Source organism: Homo sapiens, chromosome 1 (assembly GCF_000001405.40).
Source record: "Homo sapiens chromosome 1, GRCh38.p14 Primary Assembly".
Taxonomy (NCBI): domain Eukaryota; kingdom Metazoa; phylum Chordata; class Mammalia; order Primates; family Hominidae; genus Homo; species Homo sapiens.
Genome location: NC_000001.11, coordinates 239,383,657 through 239,405,057, shown reverse-complemented (window position 1 = coordinate 239,405,057; position 21,401 = coordinate 239,383,657). Strand labels below are relative to the sequence as shown.

At 41.0% G+C, this 21,401-nt stretch overlaps 1 protein-coding gene across 26 annotated transcripts in view, besides 2 other annotated features; it reads right to left on the bottom strand.

Moving 5' to 3' along the window:
* Window positions 1-18,490, bottom strand: part of CHRM3 (cholinergic receptor muscarinic 3) — a 528,883-nt gene extending 510,393 nt beyond the window's left edge. For 25 of the 26 annotated variants that reach the window (NR_164748.1, XM_047443115.1, NM_001375982.1 and 22 more), the window contains exon 1: window positions 17,831-18,490. The gene's annotated coding sequence lies outside the window, so the exon portion shown is untranslated. The other variant, XM_047443119.1, reaches the window with a different exon arrangement.
* Window positions 16,767-17,267: an enhancer, noted in NCBI's record as "H3K4me1 hESC enhancer chr1:239551091-239551591 (GRCh37/hg19 assembly coordinates)". NCBI's record gives its function as "activates a minimal SCP1, AML or CMV promoter by ChIP-STARR-seq in naive and primed H9 embryonic stem cells {active_cell/tissue: H9 hESC(naive and primed)}" and the evidence as "EXISTENCE:reporter gene assay evidence [ECO:0000049][PMID:30033119]".
* Window positions 17,268-17,768: an enhancer, noted in NCBI's record as "H3K4me1 hESC enhancer chr1:239550590-239551090 (GRCh37/hg19 assembly coordinates)". NCBI's record gives its function as "activates a minimal SCP1, AML or CMV promoter by ChIP-STARR-seq in naive H9 embryonic stem cells {active_cell/tissue: H9 hESC(naive)}" and the evidence as "EXISTENCE:reporter gene assay evidence [ECO:0000049][PMID:30033119]".

Below are 21,401 nucleotides of genomic sequence, written 5' to 3'. Positions count from 1 at the left end.
TCCATTTTTTAGACTGTTCACGAAAATAAAACTATTTTGCACTTAGACAGCAGTTCTAGACTATGTTGTCTTTGCTTTTTTGACATCCTGCTGTTTATATAAATAATATACATGATTACTTGCTCAGAAATGTAACCCCTAAACATAGCATTATACCCATGCAAAAATATGGTCTGTTTTTGATAGTCAGCTCCCTGATAGAACTCAAGAGAAAAACAAAAAAAGTTAAGAACTGCGTATATTTGAGATAACACTTTCTGTTTTTATAGTACCCTGTGAACATTGTTAACCATATTTTCCATATATATATATATATATATATATATATATATATATATTTAGATATAGCATGATACATTTAATGGAAGCGGTTTCAACTTAATTTTCCAGCGGACATCTGAGTTCTTGCTCTATTGTGTTTATATTTCAGTGGGAAAGAGCACTCCACCCTTTGCAAAGCCTGAGAAACATCTCAAGTTGAATACGACTCATCTTACCAGAGAGAATGACCTGAGATAATGTACTCCTTGCCAATCCATGCTATTAATCTAACTCAGAAAAAAATAAATGTTCCTTTCTTTCTTTCTTTTTCTTTCTTTCTTTCTTTCTTTCTTTCTTTCTTTCTTTCTTTCTTTCTTTCTTTCTTTTTCTTTCTTTCTTTCTTTCTTTCTTTCTTTCTTTCTTTCTTTCTTTCTTTCTTTCTTTCTCTTTCTCTTTCTTTCTTCCTTCCTTCCTTCCTTTCTTTCTTCTCTCTCCTTTCTTTTTTTTTGAGACAGAGTCTCGCTCTGTCACCCAGGCTGGAGTGCAGTGGTGCGATCTCGGCTCACTGCAAGCTCTGCCTCCTGGGTTCACGCCATTCTCCTGCCTCAGCCTCCCGAGTAGCTGGGACTACAGGTGCCCACCACCACGCCTGGCTAATTTTTTTGTATTTTTGGTAGAGACGGGGTTTCACTGTGTTAGCCAGGATGGTCTCGATCTCGTGATTCGCCCACCTTGGCCTCCCAAAGTGCTGGGATTACAGGCGTGAGCCACCGAGCCAGGTATCTCTCTCTCTCTCTCTCTCTCTCTCTCTCTCTCTCTCCCCCTCCCTCTCCCTCCCTCCCTCCCTCTCTCTCTCCCCCTCCTTCCTTCTGAAATGTTGGATCTTAAAATTTAGCAAGCAGAAGTACTATCTAAGGTACAGTGTTTAGAATGCAGATTGACAGACCCTGTCCCCATTTTTATTCAGCTGGTCTGCTTTCAATCCCCAAGGTTGAATCTTTAGCAGACATCCCATATGATTATGATGTATACGATCCTGGGCCACACATGATCACCCCTCCAAGTCCCTGTGATTGAAAGCTTTCCAAGTGGTTACAAAAACCTTCAAGAGAGCTTGCTACTTGTGGCATCTGATGATCAACCAATAATGACTACTGGCCACTAGAAATTAGCTGGTGAAAGGAACCATAATTTCCAGGAGATCCAAAAGACTACCCCTCTCAAAATGTGAGGGTCACCAGTGTAACCATTGTATCTACAAAAACAATGCTCCAGGCAAGGGAAGTTCTGAATCTCAGTCAGAGAAATTCTAGTATGTTCTGCATATAAGTCATCAGGAACTGCTTACTGTTCACTAATGGATAAACTATTTTGTCATCATCAAGGTACATTGAAGACTGCTAAAACTCATGTTTCTTTTTCTCCTCCAAAGGGAACAGTAACAAGGAACTCAGTCAACAACAAATACTTAATGAAAGTCTATTATGTGCCAAGCAGGCCCTTGGGATAGATCAGTGAATAAAACATAAAAATCTCTGCCTGCACAGGTACCTAAAGCATCATTCCATTTAGTGAGTTTCTACAAGGTGTAAAGTCTACGAGGCGTATGGAGAAATAAATAATTGGTGGCTTCTGATGAGAAGCTCAAAATCTAAAGGACAAGGAGAGTTATTTACATAATTTATTTAAAGGCAGATAAGTATGGTAAATGTTATAATAGATGTGAGAATAACATACTAAAGGAGCATGGGGATTGAAAAAGATGTACAGTCAGCCCTCTGTATCTGTGGGTTCCACATCCGTAAATTTAACTAATCTCGCATCAAAAATATTCCAGAAAAAAAAATCCACAAAGTTCCAAAAAGCAAAACTTGAATTTGCCTCATGCTCAGTACTATGTTGAATCCACTCAAATGAAGTGATGCGTAGGCACTGCATTAGGTATTATAAGTAATCTAGAGATGATTTAAATTTCATGGGAGGATATGCATAGGTTATATGTAAATACTGTGCTGTTTTATACAAGAGACTTGAGCATCCTGTGATTTTGGTATCCACTAGAGGTCCTGGAGCCAATACCCGTTGGATACTGAGGGACGACCATATTTTCCTGAGGACTTCAGGCCTAATATTTTTAGGACAGCTACAGCCAAGCTAGGGAGAATAAATTTGGAAGTGTGGTTTCCACAGAAACCTAGAGGAAGGACAATGGAGTCACATCCAAAGAACCACAAGCAGGCTGATGTGGCTACAGTGACATGACAGAGCGGGGAAAGGGAGATGGAATCAAAAGTTACGTAGAGGTAAAATTGTAGGTCTTGTTACAGAACCGTAAAATCCAAAAGAGACTGAAAGCAGGGAACAAGTTAGAGGCTATTGGAGCCTTGTAAGGGGGAGATGATGGGAAAGACCTGGATCAAGGAGGTAGTAGTGAGAACAGGTGGCAAGTAATTAATGTGGTGCAGTTTAGGAAAATTCAATAGGACTTATAAGCTGCACGTAAAGAGGGAAGTTATCTTTGCAAACATTCAGAAGGATTCAAGTCTGAATCCTTGCTTCTCCTTGGAACACTGTGATGAAATCAATGCATATAGGAAAAGTAGGAAGAGTGGAATATTTTGGAGAAAGGTGATGGGTTCCAATCTCCAAATCATACATTAGAGGTGCCTGATGGATATTCTTTGTAGAAATGTCTAAAAGAGGGCCAGAAATGAATATGTAGCACTTGGGAGGGGGTTTGACACTTGAGATCTGTTTCTACTAATACTTGATGCCATAAATGCCGTAAATGCCGCTGCAAACAACAAGAGTGAATAAAGAGGCCAGGTCATCTCCAGGCAGTGACTTAGCAGGAGTCTACATAGAAACTTAGACATGGAGTCAGAAGATCCAGGCTTAGAGTTTTGCAGCTTTGGGTGTGGCATTCAACCTTTTCAGATTCCAGGATCCTCAAATATAAAATAAGAGGCCTCCATTAGATAATCTTAAAAATCCCCTCAAAGTCTGCCGGGCATGGTATCTCACACCTGTAATCCCAGCAATTTGGGAGGCCAAGGAGGGTGGATCGCCTGAGGTCAAGAGATCGAGACCATCCTGGCCAACATGGTGAAACCCCGACTCTACTAAAAATACAAAAAAATTAGCTGGGTGTGGTGGTGTGTGCCTGTAGTCCGGGCTACTCAGGAGGCTGAGGCAGGAGAATCGCTTAAATCCGGAAGGCGGAGGTTGCAGTGAGCCGAGATTGCACCACTGCACTCCAGCCTGGCAACAGAGACTCCATCTCAAAAAAGAAAAAAAAAAGGAAAAAAGAGAGAGAAGAATTTTGGGATCAGGAGAAGACAAAATACAGAATGGTAACTTGAAAAGTTGCAAGGGTAAGAAAAAGTGTACTTTAAGGAAAGTCAAGTCAAACGTTCCATAGTTAGAGGAAAATATCTTACAGAGAAGCAGGGTGGAGAGTGCCAGTGTGGGAGGAAGAAGATCTGAGCGTGCAGTAGAAAAGTGTTATGGAGCACAGATTTCTGTTTTTGATGAAGCTGGAGAATGGCCACAGGCTGTCTTACTTGCCACAGCCTTCAGACCCAGGTACCAGTTTCTTTATTCAGCCCGGTTCCATGTTGTGGCCTGACCCTTGATAATCAGTATTTCATCCGTAGCTTAACACGGTCTAGGCCTGTCCCTAAGACTGTGGGAATGTTTCAGTCCCTCCCAGAATCAACTTTGATTTTCTTTTCAAGCCTAGACCCTTGGGTTGTTCTCTTTTTGCCTGGTTCCTGCTTCTGATGAGAAAGATATGCACGCATTTTATATAAAAGGCAACATGGTACAACCTGGATTCACTGAGCTTCTGCGACATCATCAGCTGTTTAAGCTGAGGAAAGTCCTCAGTATGTTTCAGTTTCCTTTTATGTATATATAAAAAAGATAATAACAATTTCTATTTAAAGAGGGTTGTTGACTGCATGGTACTGGCATAAAAACACACACACACAGACCAATGGAATGGAATAAAGAGCCCAAAAATAAATCTTTGTATTTACGGTCAACTGATCTTCAACAAAGATGCCAAAAACACACAATGAAGAAAGGATACTCTTCAACAAACGCACTTGGGAGAACTGGATATCCACATGCAGAAGAATGAAATTGGATCTTATCTCACACCAAATACAAAAATCATATCAAATTGGATTAAAGACTTAAATTTAAGGCCCAAAACTCTGAAACCACCATAAGAACACACTGGAAAATGTTTAGAACATTAGTCTCGGCAAAGAACTTTTGGGTAAGATCTCAAAATCACAGGCAACAAAAGCAAAAATAGACAAATGGAATTATATCAAGAGAAAACGTTTCTGCATGGCAAAGGAAAAAATAAACAAAGTGAAGAGGCGACCTAAACTATGGGAGAAAATATTTGCAAACTATCCATCTGACAAGGGATTAATAACCAGAACATATAAGGAAGTCAAAAACTCAATAGCAAAAAAGAAAATAATCTGATTAAAAAATAGGCAAAAGATGTGAACAGAGATTTCTCAAAATAAAACTTACAAATGGCCAACAGCTATATAAAAATAAAACTAGCGGCCAAGAGTCATGGCTCACGCCTGTAATCCCCACACTTTGGAAGGCCGAGGTGGGCGGATCACTTAAGGCCAGGAGTTTGAGACCAGCCTGGCCAACATGGCGAAACCCTATCTATCATAATACAAAAATTAGCCAGGCATGGTGGCAGGCACCTGTAATCCCAGCTACTTGGGAGGCTGAGGCAGGAGAATCGCTTGAACCAGAAGACCGAGGTTGCAGTGAGCCAAGATCATGCCATTGCACTCCAGCCTGGGCAACAGAGTGAGACTCTGTCTCAAAAAAGTAAAATAAAATAAAAATAAATAAATAAATAAAACTACCATAGGACCCAGCAATCCCGCTACTGGGTATACATCCAAAGGAATTGAAATCAATATGTCAAAGTGACATCAGCACTCCCATATTCACTCCAGCACTCTTCATAATAGCCAAAATATGGAACCAAACTAAGTGTCTATCAACAGAAGAATGGAGAAAGAAAATGTGGTATATATACACAATAGATACCATTCACGCTTAAAAGAGAAGAAAATTCTTCCTCCGCAACCAAATGATTGGACTTGGAGGACGTTGTGTTAAGTGAGATGAGTCAGGCACAGAAAGACCAATGCCACATCTTCTCATTTACATGCAGAATCCCAAAAAGTGGAACTTATAGATGAAGAGTAGAATGGGAGTTTCCAGCGGGGACAGGGAAGGGGTGATGGTTGGGGAGATGTTGATCAAAAGGTACAAAGTTTCATTTAGGATGAATAAGTTTGAGAGATCTATTGTACAACACAATGATAACTATGGTTAATGATAACTAACACGTGATAACTGCTAAGAGAATAGATCTTATAACATTCTCACAGCAAAAAAAAAAAAAAAAATCAGAGGTCATGGATATATTAATTAGTCTGATGTAATCATTTCACAAAGTACCACGATATCAAAGCATTACACTGTACACCATAAATATATATAATGTTTAATTGTCAACTATACATGAAAAAAGAGGGCTGTTGATTCAATGAGATATTGTCTGAAAATCTGAAGCCTTATAATTCATTATAATTATCAGCAGTCATCATCATCATCACCATCGTTACCTGTTCTTTCTTCAGGATATCTTGCATTGGCTAAAAGTTACTTTCTTTGCCCATGGTGGTTCCTGGGGTCTTCAGGCCTTCAAAGAGACCTTGGTTCCAACATATTACTTTTTCTTTTTTAATCTGCTTTCAAAGTATTCACTTCCTTTCTTTTTCTTTTTTCTTACCTTAATATATGGGCATTTTTTTGTGGGTATAATTTTAGACTATACATTTCCAAGTTATATCCTGCTTGCCTTCCAAAGAGAATCTGAGAATGCTTATATTAAAACTGAAAGGTTAAGAAAAATCCTAAAACAAAAGGGAAGTAATATACAGAAAAACCAAGCAAAACTGTCCACTGTGATTGAATGTTATTTTTAGGTCTAAGTTTCCTAGCAGCCAATGCAAAAATGAAATAAATATGCCTTAATTTTATTATCAGATAATTGCTCTTATTATTCCAAAGGAGGTTCAATTTTCACTTGTATTAAATTCTACAGGAAACACACAATCCATATGGGAGGAGACATATTAACTATACCAATGGACAAAATCTTCAGGGGTTTGATAGAAGATGTAGAAATATTCTTTATATTGGCCAGGCGTGGTGGCTCATGCCTGTAATCCCAGCACTTTTTGGGAGGCCGAGGCGGGCAGATCACTTGAGGTCAGGAGTTCGAGACCAGCCTGACCAACATGGTGAAACCCCGTTTCTACCAAAAATACAAAAATTAGCCAGGCGTGGTGGCACACGCCTGTAATCCCAGCTACTTGGGAGGCTGAGGCAGGAGAATCGCTTGAACCCAGGAGGCAGACGTTGCAGTGGGCCAAGATCATGCCATTGTACTCCAGCCTGGGTGAAAGAACGAAACTCCATCTCAAAAAGAAAAAAATACATTATTTATATAATTTCACTAACCCAGACTGCAAAAGTCTCCTATTGATTCAAAGTTGTAATCTTTTATTGTCTTACATTCTACTTTTAAGTTTCTTCTTCATAAGATACAGTCTCCTTTGCTGCTATCTCTAGGTTCCTCAAACATACTCCTGTCCTCCCTCTACCCAGGAAAATGACCTTCCCGAGTTCCACAACAGAACTATTTCTTAAATGACAAATATGGTATCAGTAACAAACATTCATCATTATGAAGACTTATCTCTCCAAAATTTCAAAGGGAATATTGATGTTTACTTCTAAAAGAATTTTCTTTTCAACAAATGCTTTATTGTGTGCCCCCAGTTACTGGCATTCTAAGACACGGCTCACATAACATTTTCCTTTTGTTTTTCACACTGCTTCTTCCTAAATTGTAGTTTTATTAAATACACTAAAATTTTTGGTATATCTTTTACAACATTTTCTATATATATATAGAAATATATATAGATATATTTTTATAGAATATATATTTATATATTTTATAGAAATATATATATATATATATAAATACATGTATTTTTTGAGACAGAGTCTCGCTCTGTTGCCCGGGCTGGAGTGCAGTGGCACGATCTCCGCTCACTGCAACCTCTGCCTCCCGGGTTCAAGAGATTCTCCTGCCTCAGCCTCCCAAGTAGCTGGGACTACATGCATGTGCCAGCACGCCCGGCTAATTTTTTGTATTTTTAGGAGAGAAGGGGTTTCACTGTGTTAGCCAGGATGGTCTCAATCTCCTGACCTCCTGATCCACCCATCTCGACCTCCCAAAGTGCTGGGATTACAGGCGTGAGCCACCACACCCGGCCACAACATTTTCTATATTTTTATTTCAAATTTATATTCATTAATGGAACAAAAAGTAATATACCTATACATATGTGTGTTAGATGATAGATAAATATGTACACATTCAGAATTCAAAATGAGTCACCTATTCTTTATGGAGCAAAATAATTTGAAAACTTACATTTCAGTATAAAATTGCAATCTGAGAGTTCACGTCATCAAATATGATAATTTTAACTTGTCATCAAAGATAAATGATTACTACTTCACCCGCAGTTCATCACTCAACATTAGCCTAAAGACATAAGTATAGCTTGGAACTTCCGGGGTAGTATTTGTGTCTTACTGTTACAGATCCGAAGTCTAGCACAATCTGAGGAGCAGAGAGAGAAATTGCTGAATAAAGGCATATTTAAGTGATCAGAAATTCAAAGCAAACATATTTCTACATTGCTAGGCCATTTTAAGCAGATTGGTTTTTATGCAGTTAAATCAGTCAATCTTTTGGAATAAGTTGCAGATTTTAAGAAGAGGAGATAGATTTACATTTAAAGTCAAGTTGCAAGAGTCTATTATTATCCCAGTTTTGTATAGAGTAAATGTTAGAATATGTATAGAAAAATATCAGAGGCAATCCTGTCGTGACATCAAACTGTTAACCATAGTTGTCTTTGGGGGCATTGGGTTATGGTGGACTTTTACTTTTGATATATATTTCCATAATGTTTGAATTTTTGTATGACATATATTACTTTTATAAGGAGACAAACAACAAAAACACTATATTTACTCTTTTCGAGACTGGATCTTGTTCTGTTGCCCAGGCTGGAGTGCAGTGGCACCATCACAGCTCACTGCAGCTTTGAACTAATGGGCTCAAGGGATCCTCCTTGCCTCAGCCTCCCATATAGCTGAGACTACAGGCAGGTGCACAATCAAATCCAGCTGATTTTTAATAATTTTTGTAGAGATTTTTTTTGCTAAGTTGCCCAGGTTGGTCTTCAACTTCTGGCCTCAAACCATCCTCCCACCTCAGCCTTCCAAAGTGAGCCACTGTGCCTGTTTACATATTTTATATGCGAATGTGCACACTGAGCATTTATGAAGAAGACTCTGCACTAGATACTTGAAAGCAGTCAAAGACCAACAAAACACAGCATCTTTCAAGGAGTTCACAGTCTGATATTTCAAACAATTTGTGGCACACACACACTAAAACCAAGAGTGAATGTAATCAGGGATAAAAGTGAGATTCTGATAGAGTAACAGAAGATGAATTCGTTTCAAGTGGTCCTTGACAAATTGCTAAAATTTGGATCCCTGATGATGTGGCACAAAGGGCATCCTATGCAGCAAGAGAACGTGGCAGAGGATGAGGATACCTGCAACAGCAAGTACCAGGGTAAAGTGAAGGGTGACCTTGAGACTTGAGACTGAACTCAACATGCAAACCCAAGCCATGAAATAGGGTGAAGCTGATGCGAGACATTTAGTCTTTATTCAACAGGCAATGGAAGGTGATGTCAAAGAAGGTGTTCAAGGGTAGGAGAAAGATGATCACATTTGGTCCTCAATAACAGTAATCTGTGTAAAATGGATCAAAGGCAATAATATGATCAATGAGATCATCTGGGAAGCTCAGAGACTAAGAAAAGATACAAAGCTAAAACATAAAGCCTTTCTTCTCAGTGTGGTCTGAGCACAGAGGAGCAGTATCTGCATCACCTGAAGGCTGGTTAGAAATGCAGATTCTCAGGCCCCAACCCAGCCCTCATGGATCAGAGTCTGCATTTTATCAAGATCCCTATGTGATCTGAATGCACATTTAAGTTGCAGAAATGATGAATTAAGATATTGGTAGCAGGAGGGGAAAGTAGCCAAGAAGGTTGAGATCTTACTTGGTTGAATCATTAGAATTCGGTACCTGGCTAAATGTAGGAGGTGAGGGAAGAGAATAAATCAAGATCACTTGATTTATTCATAACATTTGAGCTGTAGGATGGTCATGCTATTCATAGAAATAGGAACCCCAGGAGGGGAACAGGATGAGGAAGAAGGAGGGGAAGGCTGTGCTATCCAGCAAGCACATGGAAATGCTCCTTACTGAAGCCAAGTGACCCACATGGAAAGGGTATTTGAAATCGTGAAGACAGAGGCAGGTACAAAAGGAGAGGCAACGGAAGAGTATGGGAGTCAACCAGGGAGAAATTGCTGGAAAGCCCTACACTCTGCAGAAAATAGGGGTGGGGAACAGGAAGAAGAGAAAAGAACCAGAGGAGAGAAGAGAGCTAGGTAGGTATAATTCTCTGAAAATTAAGGGAGTTTAAAGGGATTGCTAAGAGATTAACCAGGACAGACAAGGAAGGGCTACCCGTTTTATGACTAAGAGGTTACAGGTGACTTTTGGAGAAGTCATTGCTATAAACCTCATGAAGGTGGATGAGAGGAGTCAAAAGATTTAAAGTCAGAGGGTAATGAGATTAGGGGAGTGTGATTGCTGTTCGGTGAGTGTAATTGAAAAGGTTAAGAAAAATCATGAAAATTTAGAAGTGGCACATAGGACCAGGTTGAAATAACTTTAAACTTCTCAACTTTAAAGATTTTCTTGTGGAAGAAAGATCAGAAGTGTTCTCATCATAATTCTCAGAATTATTAAGAAGGCAAATAAGTACAATGAGAATTAGATTTTTGGCTCAATATAAAGGGGATCTGCATCTCACTGCTCTGTGAAAATGGAATGACCCCCCTGGTGAGTGTTAATTTCTCAAACATACAGACTGCACAGTTTAACACAAGAGAGAGGTCCAAAGCCAAAAGTTGTTCATTAATGACATCTGCAGTGGTCTGAATGGCGGTCCCTCCAAAAGATGTGCCCACCTCCTAATCCCCAGGTTCTGTGATTACCTTATATGACAAAAGATGTGATGTGATGAAGTTAAAGCTCTTGAAAGGAGGAGCTTATCCTAGATTTTCTGGCTGGGACTTCACTGCAATCACACATATCCTTATAAGACAGGCATATACAGGAGGAGACAGTGAAAGAGGTGGAGGAGGCAACGTGACCACAGAAGCAGAGATTGGAATGATATGCTCACAAGTCAAGGAATGCAGATAGCTACCAGGAGCTGAAGGAAGAAAGGAAGGATTCTCCCCTAGGGTCTTTAGAGGAAGTGCAGTCTTGCCAACACCTTGATTTCAGACTTCTGGCTTCCAGAATTGTGAAAGAATAAACTTCTGTTTTAAAACCTAAGAAATTCACGCAACATCTAACATCCCCTTCCAACCCAGATTTGTTTAGTTACACTCACATTGATCATATGCTCTGAAAAGCAGAGCCCTTGACTTACTGTGTATCCAAAACAGAATGTCCATGGTACTTTGCACATTAGATGATACTGATATGAAAGATGTGATAATGGATGTATATACAACACCTATGTAAATGAACATAGGTGGATTAGATATAAAGAGATAGATAATTGATAGGTAGATAGATGGAATGATTGAGTCATTTACTCATTCTACTCAAACATGTATTTATTATATATTTACTTATATACTCTCATGAAGGTAACTTCTTTGGAGAGAATCAAAATAAATACTACCTGGGTTATCCTTGAGCATCAAATTTTATATTAAAAATGGTGAGTGCCACTAGTATTCAGAGTAGAGGGAAGTGATTTGTAGTTGTTTAGTCAGACCGATTTTCAGTTTCTAACATTCAAATGAATCAAGGGATTTAAAATAATTAGTCACAGGGAAAAACAGAATGATAGCTGCGCTCAAGGAAAGCTGGAAGAGTTTGGCTGGTCCTTGCATGATGGAAAGGATCTGGGGTGAGGAGAGAAGAAAGGAGGACTCCATATAAAGAAACATCATGGCCATTCCAGATTCCCATCACCTCTCCCTTCACACAAGCTACTGCATGTGGCATGTGTTATCGGGCATGTGAGAAAGCACAGGAAACACGGCAGGAGGATCATCACGTCTATTTCAAGTATGAGAACTTCTTTTCAATGTAAATCGTTTGAGAGACCTCCCACAACAGAAGTTGTGCTTTTAGACTATTTTGCACTAAGAAAATTGAAAAATCACAAAAAAGACTGTGTTCAATAACATTTTTAAATGACTATGGATATACATTTAAATATAGTCATCAACATATTGTCAATTTGAAGCCAAAAACCCAACAATATTTAATATTTATATGGGATCTTCTTTCTTTCTTTCTTTATTGAAGAGATGGGGGTCTTGCTATGTTGTCTAGGCTGGAGTACAGTGGCTATTCACAGGTGCAATCATAGTACATTATAACCTTGAACTCCTGGCCTCAAGTGATCTTCCTGCCTTAGCCTCCCGAGTACCTGGGACTACAGGTGTATGCCACTATGCTCAGCCAAAATTTATATGGATTGTGAGTCTACAAAATACCACTGGATTAGGTTTCAATGGAAGTGAGAGCTAGCTCGATGGAATGTCAAATGGCTGTGGGCAAGAATTGGCCTGTATGTATTAATAGTTAGCAGTAACCAGGTTTCCCTCCAGTCTGGATCCCATGGGCAATTCTAGTGGGAGAAAATGTACTCCAAAGTGACAAGTCTTAAAAAATGTAGACAAAGGCTGTTAGCAGCTCCTTTTTCCTACAGTTTAGTGACAGAATATTTTTATATGTATCTATGTCTATAGCCATAGCTACCTATGGTAAATTAGAAGGCTTCAGTAGAAGAGCACCAAAACACTTCACAGCCATAAATGCAGGGAAGTACACACTTGGTAGCCCCTCTCTCTGGGAACTCTCTCCAAAACAGGCTGAAAGTATTTCACCTTGGTTTAAACTCACCTGAATTTTATCTGAACAGCAGTAGTCGGCGGATATCCTGCCTGAACCAGGATGTCTACATTAGCACCACTTCCTGTGCTAGAGGTGACAGAAGGTAGACGATGTCATGGCTCAGCTGGCATGCCAAATTTCAAGGGAACAGTGGGGACAGGAAGCAGGCTAGGACTGGGCTAGAACAAATGACCTAATGAAGGATTAATTCTGTAGTGGATAGTCAGCCACTCAAATTACATTGCTTGGGAGAGGTGTGGAGAACTGAGATTTGATCCTGCCAACAATGACAGACAAGGAGAATTTATTTGTCAAGTGGAACCGGGCACTACAAGTCTCAGGCGGAAATGATGCACTGTCAGGAGAGGAGCTGTGCCTTAGGTCCAAGGGTTTGTCACACTGAGATTGAATCAGAGACAGAATAGAAAGAAAGGGGTCTTGCTCCTGGAGAGAAGTTCTTGGCAAGGGCGAGGCTGACTGCCAAGGTCATAGCTAAAATTTTCCCAGGCCAGACATTAAATCCAGTACTGAAAGTGCAAATTGAAAACTCAATAAAATCCTAGTCCTACGAAATGGTAAATATGACAGGAGTTAGAGAAACTGAGGTGAGGGGGGCATGAGAATTGCTAGAGCTCACTAGGGTTAGGACAGACTCTGCACTGGTTGTGGAATCAGAAGGGCCAGGCTCCTGAGTCCCATGCAGAGCAGGCTTGGAAAGGCAAGGTCTCAAAGCCCACAAGGCATCTGCCAGCTACTGTTTATCAAATTGGTTTTTGTTTTTTGTTTTTAATTTTTGGCCACCATTGTTTTTCTCAAAGTGTTCATATTCCGGATGGCTTCAGGATGAACTGGCACAATTGGTGAGAAGCTGGCAGGGGCTCAGAATATTCCTTCTGTTGACTTCCTGTCATCACTACTGGACCCTAGGTCTGTGTCAATGTGGCAAGCTGCAGCTGCAGCCTCAGCAGAGGAAGCTAAGAAGGTGCACGTCAGCCAGAGTCCTTGGCCTTCAGGAGGGGATGAGCGGGAAGTTCCAACAGGTGGGAGAATGCAGATCGCCAGCCTAAAAGAGAGAGCCTGCCAGAGGCTGGGGAATCTGCAAGCTGCCAAAACTTCTGGATAGAAAACAACACACAGAGGCCAAAAACTGAGCCAGAGGGCCACTACATACTGGCGCTCAGTGCTGTCCATCATGGTGTACTGAGGGGGCTCTGGGTTCCAATCAAGCACTGCATTTCAGAGTTTGTTCAAAAAGCACATCCACATGCACTGGATTCTCAAAACCAATCCATGGTATGGACAGGGCAACTACTATGGTCTTCAAGTGTACAGTGGGGAATGAAATGTTTGAGGTCACACAGTTATCACATAAGCCACATTATGGTTTAATATTTTCAATTGCTTCACCAAACCAAAATTACTATTATGATGATGATTATGTAGAGACAGAGTCTCAGACTCTCGTACAGGCTGGAGAGCAGTGGCATGATCCTGACTCACTGCAGTCTCGAACTTCTGCATTCAAGCTATCTTCCCACTGCATCTTCCTTAGTAGCTAGGAATACAGGTGCACGCCACCATGCCTGGCTAAGTTTTTACACTTTTTGTAGAGATGGGGTCTGGCTATGTTGCCTAGGCTGATCTTGATTTCCTTGCCTCATGTAATCCTCCTGCCTTGGCCTCCCAAACTGCTGCCATTACTGGCATGAGCCACTGTGCCCAGACCAAAATTATTTTTATTTCTTGCATTGAAGACAACACTAATGGAGATCTATACTGTCTGGGGCATGCAACTGCTAGGGAAGGTAGCAGGCTAACAGAGCTCTCCAGGTGCTAGTTCACTGATGAAAAGGGAAGCCTTTCATGAGGCAGAGAATTGCTTGAACCTGGGAGGCGGAGGTTGCAGTGAGTCAAGATCATGCCACTGCACTCTAACCTGGGCGACAGAGTGAGACTCCATCTCAAAAAAAAAAAAAAAAAGTGAGGGAAGCCTTTCATACCTGCACACCCTCTCCGTGGAGGGTGGGCAGAGGGAGCAATGCAGTGATGAGTGATTTGAAGAAATACTCTGCTTAGCATTTGATCTGAACAAAGATATATTCCCTAATGGAGAAGATAGGGCCTTTCAGACACCAGAAACTAACTTCTAATTTAACTGATTTTGCCTCCTGTCATATACATTAGATTATCTCTTCATAAAATTAAAACTTTCCATTGATGTTGAAATTTTATTCCAAAGTTCTGAAAGGCTAGTAATTTTTCAGAACAGGGCTTCTGCTGGACTTGCTGAACTTTATAGATGAAAAATATATTGCATCTAGGAAAACACTATATTAAACAATTAAGCATAAAGGCACATTTTATTATGCTGATTAACTTTTAAAAGTAAACGTGGTAGAGGGATTTGATTACAATTTTATTAAGCTCATAGATACCTTTTACAATAGTCTTATGTAAGGAGAATACATTTTAAATTCACAAACATAAAAGACAACATCTCTAGTTACTCACTGATCCTCCAAAATCACACTGTGAGAATAATGCTATTAGTCATCATATGATATAAAATCAGGTTCCATAAGTGAAGGACAGATACACTTCTCTGCATACTGATCAGTCTCCATCTTCATATGATTCACGGTTCATTCATCTCCTATCTAAAGTGCCACTACACCACAGCTGTTCCCAGTATAAACTTCCCGGCACTGCAAACAAGACCCAATTTCTTAATAGTCACACTGGAATCGTCCAGGCCATTTAGCAGTAAGCAACTGAGCTTGCCAATGTTAACAAAGTTATTAGGCAAGAACAATATGTTGGCTGGGAAAATGACAGAGATTTTAACTAAAAATCTGAAAATATGTATTACTTTATAATTTACAAATACATAAGGCAACTTTGCTTTTAACCATATCGTTTAACTTTCTGTCTATTCAATTTACAAGTGTGAATCTAAGAAATTCTATGTCTGCCAATTTCACATTTTTTCCATGCCCTCTTTCAACAGGTTGCCTGCAATTAAAGGCTAAAATATCATTAAAAGAACTTCACATTTTTACATACTCTAATTTATAACAAATTTTCTTTGTTAAGAAATTAAATCATTTGTCTTTATAAGGAAAAAATGAGAAGGTACACTCTAAAGAACTTTTACACATGCCTAAATAATCTTCAGAAGTAAATAATACTTTTGAAGTGACATTTTACTTCCCCCTACCCCAGAATAAAAGTAGGGTACTGAATATTCATCATAGATTTCTCTAAATTTTAAAGCAAACTTTCCTAAATAAGCTTAAATGTAGGTTTAATACAGAACTACTCATTATAACACTTGTTCTTTCTTTAAAACTTGACCAATTCCACATTTGCTCCTTTTCCCAAATTACATTTTTCCCTTACAATAATTTTCCACACAGAAAATTTATAAAGATTTTTCAAAGTCTACTTTTTATCTCATTTTCTTTTTCAACTGTCATGTTCATTCGATTAATGACGCAACGTTATTTAAAAAACAATATTTCGACATTGCTATTTTCGTGCTACATTCGATCTCATAATACCCCCCAACCTAGAGAAACATTCTAAATCCGACCGGCAATGTCATTATTTTTAAATTAGTAATTAAGCGAACGTTATATTTCCATATGGAAACCACTACAAAAATAACGTGCTTTCTAGCCCAACAATAGCTAATTATGTATTAAGCTAATTGAGACAAACCATGTAAACAAAATCTAAAGATAGACTATTCGGCGGTAGAAGCTATGATGTAAACCACATTTCTGTGGCATGTTGGAATGCACACTGAAGAAGCAGGCATGTTCCTTGCACATGTATACTTCGGGATATCAGCTCTTATAACAAGAGGGTGCACTCAACACCTCGTCTATCCCACAATATTTGGAACAGAAATACCTTAGTTTTTTATTAACGTGCTACCACTACAATACGCTTATATGCAGGTATCTGCTCTAGGTTTAGTTTTCCCCTTTCTGAACTATATGTTCATAGTCTCTCTTAAGTAAATACATGGGCATTGTTTTAAACACAGGAAATAATGATGAATGGTTCATGCGATATAACGATCTCACAATATGAAATTATCTGGACTATATAATCACTGCACCCAGTTAAAAATTATTTTTCAAATAGTAACCTACAAAGGTCAAAATGGGGGGAGGGGACAGGTTATCTGTCTTGGAACTCAGAGGGCAAGAGAGAAAGGAAAAGTCTGTGCAAAGCATATGGTGAAATAACCAGTGTTCTTAACCACACATCGCTTTGATAAATACATTTTTGTCCTAAAGAGGGCCGCCCTTTCACATTGCAAACACGGACACTGGCGGGGATCGAGGGGACATATCCTTGCAGCCTTTGGACAGGTTCCAGTAACACTTGCAGACAAATGAAGGTTTGCATTCTTGAAACCTATCCATATGGATGCAGTTCCCAAATCCCTGCTGCCTCTACCACTTCCAAATGCGTGCAAGGAGAGTCGGACACACGCACAAGCATGCAGAACAGGATCTCAATTCCAGCACGCACACCGCGAAGTAGACAAGTGAATTCTGCTGCTGGAGTCAACTGTCCGCCCGCCCCCGCCGTTTAAAAACACGCAAAAATTAACCTCGCTATTAGGAGGCTATGCTGAGGAAGTGTTCCAAAGAGGAGAACCGGTGCAGTCCAGCGGCCGCTGCCTCGCGAGTGCAGACTCTCCCCGGGTCAGTAAAGATGCGCACTAGGCTAGGTACCTTCGCCCAAGTGTTACTCGAAGTGCCAAATTTGCCTTCTCGCCCCCTGAAATGCAATCCGAACTTGCGGCCCCACTGCGAGGTTGGCGGGTGCCAGCTTTAGCCTTCTTAGAAATGACAGGAAACCAAATGGGGAGATGGGAGACAAACGCTCAACACACGAGTGCGCTCACAAACACACCCGGAGCCCAGTAGCTCCTCATGCTCGGGCACTTTGGAGCCTCAGATCCGGCAGTGGCGAAGAGAGAATCGAAGCGAGGGAGAGCGGGGTGGGACGTCCCCGACTCTCTCCCGGCCACCGCTCGCATGATTCCCGTCCCTTTCGGGGCACTTGAGTGCCAGCGGGCGTTCCCCACCCTCAGTCCCAGAACTCCAACTCCGCACCAGATCGCGCTGTCGGAATTCAAGTGCCCCCATCTTCCCCAAATCAACAGCCTCTCTCGTCCCTACCCAGCCCCTTCTTTGGACTCCAAACACAAGACCTCTCCTACCCGCGCCGAAAACTTTTTCCTCCTTTCGCAACGAGATAAGGCAAGAAACCAGGTCAGCCGCTACCGCCACCCGCTCTGCCCAGCGCCTGGGTGGCGGGCGCCGTCCCTACCTGGCAGCTGCGCTCCAGGTGGCTGTCCCACGCCGGTCTCCGCGCCTGCCCGGTGCGCGGGTGGCGTCCGCTCCACCTTCCCTTCGTCTCCTCCGGCTCCGCGTTCAGGGAGCGACTGTCCTTAAGATCGTGCCCCCCTGCCCGGAGCCGCCCTTCAGTTCATCGCCCGTCTTCCCAGAAGCGCTGCTGCGGCCCCGGCGGACTGATGAGGAGCCTGGAGATCCGCGATGGCACCGATGGCCCCGCGGTGTGCGCTCCGGGGTCTGAGAGCGCTCCGCCCGCGGGCAGCTGCGGCCGCGCGTCACATGCCGCCTCCGGGCAGCGGCCGCGGCACCTGCCCAAGCGGCAGCGCTCCCGGCTCGGCAGTGCCGCCCCCGCGCCCTGTGCTCCCCTGCACGCTCCGGCCCTTTCTGTTCACGCCCTTTTCCCTCTGTCTCCCGCCTCACTTTTTCTCTTCTTTCCGTCTCCTTCTTTATCGTGTATTCCCTTTCTCCAAAAGCAGAGAGAAGGCGCTCCAAGGGGGAGGAGAGGTCTTTTCCTCCCCACGAACTCTTCCTCTGCCTGGTGGTGGCGGTCGTGGCTACTGCTGGCCGCTCCTCCTCTCCTTCCTCCTCGCGTTCCTCCTGCTCCTCCTCCTCCCCGGACTGAGAGAGCTGGTGTAATGCACAGGCTGCGTGCTTGAGACCAAAACCTGCCCGGCTTCTGAGCATGCCCAGTTGCCCTGCCGGCGCCTAGCTCCATTCCCGCGTGCCCGCTGGGCTCCGCGTTCTCCGCCTGGCAGGGGGCGAGGAGATCCCAGGGTACTCCTGGGGTGGGTTGGCTGAAAGCGGAACACCAAGCAGGAGAGAGGGGGGCCTCACCCACCCAGCATGGCCTCACCTGTTCCCAAATTGTGCCTCCCGCGGCGCTTCAAAGATAGATTTTGCCGGTCTGTTAGTTTTGTTGTGTTCGCTTTTAAATTGGTTTCCCTGGACTGCTTAGAAGGACTGGAAGGAATTCGATTCCTTGGGCACAACTTATCGATGAGTGAACTTCAGCTCAGTTACAATATACGACTCCATGGCAAACCTTTCTCTAAGGAACAGTCTGATGCATCTACTTTTTGACATTTAGTGAGTCTGTTTCTGCAGAGCAGTGTAATAGAGGACGACTTGACTTTTCCCTCCCTGGACAGTTACACCTTGGGAGAAAATAAGACAAGCATCCATGAAGAAGACACTGACGTGCACGCGCGCGCGCGCGCGCGTACACACACACACACACACACACACACACACACACACACACACACTTTTTTAAATCAGAAAATAAAATGAAAGATATAACATTGCTAGCCAGTCTTTTAAAGCTCAAGAGGAATGAAAATCTAAGAAAGAAAGAAAGAAAGAAAGAAAGAAAGAAAGAAAGAAAGAGAGAGAGACAGAAAAGGTTATTATGTACTACTGCCAGCTAACTATGTAAGGAAAAAGTGGAGAGATACCAAATTTGAAAAGATACCAATGAGGCTGTCCCACGGCACTCTCGAGGTTTTGTTTAAAAAGCACATAAGGAAAGATAACAGAGGAATCTCACAAGAAAGGACAAGCATAACAATGATAACTGAAAAAGAAGAAAAGAAAGAAAAAGGAAGGAAGGAGGAAGATAAAAAGAAGAAAAAAGCAAGAAATTGAAGCATAGTATGAAATGAAATATTTAACAATATTAAAGGCAGCAAATGATTTTAATTCTATTTGGAACAAGAAGATAAATAGGAAAAGATAGAGCTCTTTGAAAAATTAAGTAATTCTAAGAGATTAGAGAAACACCAGTATATGAATTCCTTTCTGAACCTATATTCTTCTCTAGGTAGAACAATCTTTAGGAGAGAAGAGACTAAACTTTGCGTAGAAAAGATTGAGATCATGCTGGGAAAATAGCTAGTGAGAAAGCATGTGGCTACTTAAATTAATTAAAATATCTAGGCTTAGGTAAATTGCATCCAGGATACTAGAATAGTAATAATAATAACAATATTGTAGCCTTTTTATTGGGATACCTCTCAGAAGAAAATATAACAGTTACTTTCAGATACTTCTTTAATCTTTAAAACAATCAAATGAGTATTTTATCCTTGTGTACTAAAGGAGAAAGGAATTTAAAGGAATAATTTAATTGTCCATTATATAGCTAGTAAGAGGAACATGAATTCGGATTTAATATCTTTCCCATTACATAGAATTGTTATTTGCCTGTGGAAACAGGAGTAGCTTTGATAATATTGATCCATAAAGAACAGGCAAGGACCAAAAGAATGGACAAGTAGTGATTATGTAGTTTTCAGAGAAAGACAAAAGTTATTAATTTTTAATGAAAATATTCTGGTATGTATACAATGGTTAAGTTTGAGACTGGCCTCTGGCAATGTTCTGGAGAAGATACTGAAATAAATCATTTGTGACTAGTGAGAAAAGAAAAGGAAGCAACTACAATTTAGTAAAATAAATCATACCAGATTAAATTCATTTCCACTTGTAAATAGTCACTAAACTCATAATACAGTATTTCCTGATTTCAGCTAACCTTCCCATTATCATTATGGACAAGGTAAATGTAGATGGCATGTTTGTATCAAACAAATTACAGTTTAGACAGAGTTGCCTCCAGTTTCTTGGTAAGTGGATTCATGCTGGGCTTGAATAAGGTATTGGTCCTGACCTTGGTGCCCGATCATTCAGCAGATTTATCAAATTATATTTCAGAGGAAAATATAAATGGGATACTTAATAGATCTGAGAATGAACCAAACTGGAGGCAATGCTTATTTACAAGATGCCAAAAATCAGAAACCAAAGAGTATTTACCTTTGGATTTTCATCTAAAATGAAGGAAATCAGCTAGAACTGGAAAATACTTAGAAATCCTGCATTTTAGGTTTGTTTAAAAAAATACACAAGATAAGCAAAGGATTTATGCAGTTATGAAATGAGACTCTGGTTCTGGACAATTAGCTAATAGCACTCACTTGCCTTTCTACCATAAAATAGCTATAAAACCTGGAAAAACTATATCAAACATTTTTTACTTCTGAACCATAACCAACATAGTGCTGCAATTTGGGGTAACTGGAGGCACATGGAATGAGCCCATTCCCATGGATTATTTTTCCTCAGGGGATATTTTTTTCAGCAGAAGTTTTGGGAGGTTGAGAATAAGCAGAGAGCTGCAGTTTCACTGAGCAGAGGGCATATAGCTCAAGAGCTTGGAGCTATATAAAGTAACTAAGGTTTCTGGAGGTAAGCAAGGTGACAGAGAGGTGAGTACCAAGAGGCAGCACCGGAAGTCTGTGTGGCAATTCCTCTCAGTTCGTTAGCTGAATTGCTAGGCTGCATGTGTCCAGAGGCATTATTCTAGAGACCTGACAGATACAGTGCAGTGGCAGAGAGGCTGAAATTTGAGTGGACATTTTAGAGATCACACAATTCTGAGGAGATGTTGGAGTTCGGTTCCAGTCAGAATGGAAAGACTTTGGTGAACACCTCAGGCATTAGGATGAAACCCTTGAAGGATACTCCTTAGATAGAAGGATGATGTC